At 32.2% G+C, this 6,000-nt stretch overlaps 1 long non-coding RNA gene across 7 annotated transcripts in view; it reads left to right on the forward strand.

Annotated features, from left to right (window-relative positions):
- Positions 1–4,448, forward strand: part of LOC105375523 (uncharacterized) — a 459,019-nt gene extending 454,571 nt beyond the window's left edge. For all 7 annotated transcript variants that reach the window (NR_187960.1, NR_187957.1, NR_187964.1 and 4 more), the window contains one exon: positions 1,535–4,448. This is a non-coding gene — a long non-coding RNA (uncharacterized LOC105375523). The remainder of the gene's footprint in view (positions 1–1,534) is intronic.
- The last annotated feature ends 1,552 nt before the right edge of the window (positions 4,449–6,000 follow it).

A 6,000-nucleotide genomic window follows, 5' to 3' on the forward strand; every position in this document is an offset into this window, starting at 1 on the left:
TCATTTGAATTATTTAGGCTCCTTAATTTTATCTTATCTTCTTTGGACTCTATTTGTACTACATTTTCTGTTTCATTTTTCCTCTTTATTGTTTGAGATTAAATAGTTGCTTTGATTCCATTTTTCTAGCTATTTGAAAATTATGTATTCTATTTTCATGCTATGTATTTTGTTTTATGCTTTTAGTTACTACTCCTTTTAATATGCACAGTTAATTCTAAAACTAATCAATATCTTTACCCTTCTTTTTATCAAAACAATTAGTTTAGAAGGCTTTAACTTAAAAAAGCAATTTCACAAATATCATTCTATTTTTCTCTGCTATTTTAGTATGATTTTGTTTTTATAGTCCTACAAATTTTGTTACTATTATTTTTATACACATTCATATTGACATACTTACTTACATGTTTACACTTATTTTTTGCTTGTCATTGCCCCTTTTACATTAGACCGTTTCTCTGGATCATTTTCTCTTTTCTCAAAGTACATTTTTTAGACTTTATTCATGAGAGTCTGTTGGTGGTAAAATTTCTCAGGATTTCTTTTTTACTTGAAAATATTTTTATTTTGCCTTCACTTTGGAAGGACAGTTTTTTCTGGGTGTACAGTTTTAGCTTGACAGTTATTTTTTGCCATCTCTTTGAATACATTATTCACTTTGCTTCTAGTTTCCAGTATTGCTATTGGGAAGGCAGCTGTCAGGATAAATTTGGTTCTTTTGTAGGTAATCTTCTTTTCTTTCAGCCTTTTTAAAGATCTTCTTTGTTTTTGGTGTCTACAATTCTATTATAACGTACCTAGCAAGGACTTCTTTTAATTTAACTACAAGTATTTGTGTACTAACTCCTATAATTTCTATCTTTCATCAGTTTTAAATATTTTCAGGCACAAACTCTTCAAATACTGTTTTTCCCCCTATTCTTATCTCCTTCTTTAACTCCCATCACCAATGTCACTTTTTAACCTATTTTTTGTCCTTTCTTTCTTCTTTTCCATTTTTTTTGGCTCTTTGCTGCATTCTGGATAATTTTACAGATTTATATCTCAATTTACCAGTCTGTCTTCAAAAGCGTTTACTTAAGTCATAGCAATTTTTAATTTTAATTGGTTTGTGTCTTATTTCTATAAGTTCTATTTTATTCTTTATCAAAATAGCCATGTTAAAAAAATGTAAAAAAGACATATGCACAACTCTTTTCTCTGAACCATTATTGTACTGGTGAAAGAATGGAAACAGACCAAGTGCCATCAGTAAAGGAAAGTTTCCTAGTGTGGGAAGCCCATGATGACGTATTGTGCAGCTTTATAAAAGAATGATGCATATTTCTATATATTGTTATCAAGTAATATTCAGACAATAGTAAAAAATTTTTTAAAATTATGAAGTTAAGTGAGTATAATATATTGAGGATTATACATTGCTTTATAAAACATAAATACTTCCAAATTTAGTGTCTTAAAAGAATGATTTATTAATTTAATGTGACTGTGGGTTGACTGGGTGGTTTGTCTCCTGTTCTTATCTGTGCAGAGTCCTATGGCTATTGATATCTAACATCCTGGCTTCACTCACATGGATGAGCCCCACCTGGAATGCCTAGAAGACGTGGGACAGCTGGATCTCTCTCCACACGGTTTTTCATTGTTGCCTCAGGTTCCAATAAAAGCAAAAGCTGCAAGGTCTTCTGAGGCAAAGACTTAGAAATACCACAATGTTACTTCTGCTGCATTCTGTTGATAAAAGAATCCCACAATGCCAGCTTCATTTAAAGGGGTAAAGATATAGATTATTCACCTTCGATGGGAGGAACTGCAAATGATGTAATTAGTGATAATTTTTAATATACTGTAATGTATTGACTTATCTTTAAAAAATGAAAAAATAAACCAAAAACTAAAAGCAAAACAAAACTATAATAGAAAACAATTGCTTCTGGAGGAGGAATGCAATGGGGAAAAGGTTATAGAAACAAAAGCTACATTTTATTTGAATATACCTGTTTTAGGTTTGACCCTGGTAACATTTGATATTTTACATAATTATATCATTATTTAAAATTAAATTTTAAAACACCAATACCCATAACAGAAAAGTTTGATAAAAGAGGTGAAATATAAATATAAATATATTAAGTTTGCATTATAATCACACAGAGATGAATTGTGTCAGTTACTCAAACACAGATATTTGACTATACAACCTTTATAAGATATCCTAAGGACAAAAAAACATGCAAAAATATATATTGAACTGTTTTAAAATTATATTTTTTTGCAATTGAATTGTTATTGTGAGACAGGTGTGTACATATTTTAAGATCAAGCAAGTTAGTAAGCTTGTTGACATTATTGTAAATGGGATTTGTCCCATGGGGTAAAGAAGATATAATAGCAAGTAGAAGAAAATAAATGAAAACCCATTAATATGAGTTTGAAGTTAAAGTATCAGTATGAAGTCATGAAGCATTTTCCCAACAAAAAGAAAAAAATAGTTTCCTAGTTCTAATCACTTAAAAGTATATAGAAACAACATAAAACTCAATATCAAGAGGAAATGTAACTCAGATGTGCTCTGTAGACATTTCCCCTAAAAGGAGTTGAAGTTCATTGCAAACAAGTATCTAATTCCAGCTTGGGGTTTGAATATTGTACAAGATGGGCCTGGAATATCAAATTCTCTTACTAAAAAGCAAGGCAGATTTGAAAGACTATTAGGATGCATCAAAGAGACTCAGAGGAGTCACCCTGAAGAGGTTACCATTGGCCAAAGGTAAAAATTTGAGAATCAATAAGAAAATCAAAGGCAGTAGATTAAAATGCCTCAAATATGCTTAAATCTATCTGTTCCTAATAATGTTAATTTAAAAATAATGTTGTCATTGGACAGCTTTGAAGAATGTTAGGGATCCATAAGAATGTACAGTTTTGAATTAAAGAGAAGAATTGAGCATTTATCCTGTTTTTCCTTTATGGATTATGTCTAAGGATAACCAAATGTTGATGACAGAAAATCCTTTTTAAAGATACCTTTAGCCAAAGAATGAAGAAAGAATGATAGAATTGAAATGTTACCATTTTTGCAACCCCTAATGAAATAATGAATCTAGCCAGTTGTTATCAATTGTTGCTAACATAAAAAATGAGAGACAAACAGACACGCCTCTTCATAGAAGTATATGATACCACCTATAAAATATTACTGCCAGAAAAAAAAATCAAACTTTGGATCTAATTACCAATTAGATCAGCCTTTAGCTCTAACAACCAATTTGCAATATTTACAGGAGATACAGGAGCATGTTGAATGACACCATAAAAAGGCAATCAGTAAAATTTAGTTTATTATAAACTATATAGGATAAGTGATCCAGTTGCTGCAATAAATATATTACAGAAGGTGTGTATTGGCGGGTGGGAGATAAAGGAGCAATCTATAGATAAAAACAGACTTAAGGGACATAAAAACAACTTTAATGTATGGATCTTATTTGGATCCTTAAGAAAACAAATTGTAAAGTAGCATGAGACATTTGAAGAAAATAGAAATAGTTTTTAAGTGTGGTAATGATATCGTGGTTATACGTTGTTAAAGAATGCCTTTAGAGGTAAATACAGAAATATTTGCAGATGAACTAAAATGATGTCTAGAATTTACATAAAAGTAATCCTGTAGGGAGAGTGAAGAAGTGGAAAGAGTGGATATTGATAGGCAAGAGTAGCTATAATTTGACCACTGCTGAATGTTGTTGATGGATAAATGAAAATGTATTATATATTTTTTTACTTATATATTTGAAGATTTTGATTTTTAATAAAGTGAAGCTGAGAAAGGGAAAATCATTTTTCTTGATGTCAGGCTTTGAACAGAGATAAAAGTAAAACCACTGTAGACCAAAGTGGAAAAATAAAAAGCAAACATAAACTTTTATGCTTTCAGCTCTCTATTACTGGCTTGTATTTTTTTTTTAATCTTTATTTTAAGTTCCAGGGTACATGTGCAGGATGTGCAGGTTTGTTGCTTTTGTAAATGTGTGCCATGGTGGTTTGCTACATCTATCAACCCATCATCTAGGTATTAAGCCCAGAATGCATTACCTATTTTTCCTAATGCTCTCCCTCCCCCCACTCTACCCCCCAACAGGTCCCAGGATGTGTTATTTCCTTCCCCGTGTGCATGTGTTCTTATTGTTCAGTTCCCACATAAAAGTGAGAACATATGGTGTTTGGTTTTCTATTTCTGCATTAGTTTGCTGAGGATAATGGATTCTAGATCCATTCATGGCCCTGCAAAGGACATGATCTCATTCCTTTTTATGGCTGCATAGTATTCCATGGTGTACAGGTACTTTTGATTGCCTATTTCATTTACTTAAACATATTCAACCTTTCAAAAAAATATTGTTGGTACTTGAAAATTACAATAAATTTGGTGTTTTGGGGTCTGATTCTGCTCTGTTCTTTCTGTAACTCACACTCTTTAAGAACTTACTTATAGTTTACTAGGTTCTCAAAAACTTGCTTAAACCAGGGAAAAAGTTAAAACAACACCACTTTATAAAAAATGTTGAAAATAAAGTAAGATGACTTTTAAGTCAGAAAAAACTGAGGCTACCACTTACGAGTTTGCCACTTACTTAAATGGCTTACTTCTTTTTTATTCTTTTTTAAATTAAGAATTTTAAGAGCAGTTTTAGGTTGACAGCAAAATTAAGAGGAAGACACAGAGATTTCCCAAATACTCCCTCACCCCACACATCAATAGCCTCTCCAATTATTAACATTTCCCATCAAAGCAGTCTTTTTTTCTACAACAGATGAACCCACACATCATTATCACCCAAAGTCCATTGCTGGCATTAGGTTCACCCTTCATATTATACATCCTATCAGTTTGGATAAACGTATAATGATATGTATCTACCATTACACCATCATAGTATCATACAGAATACTTTGACTGTTCTAAAAGTCCTCTGTGCTCCACCCATTTATCCCTCCCTCTTCTCTGTCTCCTGGCAACCATTTATTTTTTACTGTCTCTGTATTTTTGCCTTTTTCATAATGTCATATAGTTGGATTCATACAGTGTGTAGCCTTTTCAGATTGTCTTCTTTTATTTAGTAATATGCATTTAAGCTTCCTCCATGTCTTGTCATAGTTCGACAGCTTCTTTCTTCCTTTTTTAAAAAAATTTGTTTTTAATTTCAATAGCTTTGGGGGGAACAGTTGGTGTTTGGTTACATGAATAAGTTTTCTAGCGGTGATTTCTGAGATTTTTATGCACCCATCACCTGAGCAGTGTACACTATACACTGTGTAGTCTTTTATCCCTCACCCTTCTCCCACCATTTCCCCTGAGTCCCCAAAGTCTATTGTATCATTCTTATGCCTTTGCATCCTCACATCTTAGCTCCCACTTGTGAGTGAGAACATCTGATGTTTGGTTTTCCATTCCTGAGTTACTTCACTTAGAATAATGGTCTCCAATTCCATCCAGGTTGCTGCAAATTCCATTATTTCATTCCTTCTTATAGCTGAGTAGTATTCCATGGTATGTATGTATATATGTGTGTGTGTGTGTGTGTGTGTGTGTGTGTGTGTATATATATATATATATATATATATCACAATTCCTTTATCTATCTACTCATTGATTGATGGCCATTTGGGCTGGTTCCATATTTTTACAATTGCGAATTGTTCTGCTATAATACAAACACGCATGTGCAAGTATCTTTTTTGTATAATGACTTCTTTTCCTCTGGGGAGATATCCTGTAGTGGGATTGCTGGAGCAAATGGTAGTTCTACTTTTAGTTCTTTAAGGAATCTCCACACTGTTTACCAAAGTGTCTGCACTAGTTTACACTCCCACCAGCAGTTTAAAGGTGTTCCCTTTTTACCACATCCCCACCAATGTTTATTTATTTTTTTTTTTGATTTTTTGATTATGGCCATTCTTGCAGGAGTAAGGTAATATCACATTGTGAGTTTGATT

The sequence above is a fragment of the Homo sapiens genome, chromosome 7, assembly GCF_000001405.40.
Source record: "Homo sapiens chromosome 7, GRCh38.p14 Primary Assembly".
NCBI classification, from domain to species: domain Eukaryota; kingdom Metazoa; phylum Chordata; class Mammalia; order Primates; family Hominidae; genus Homo; species Homo sapiens.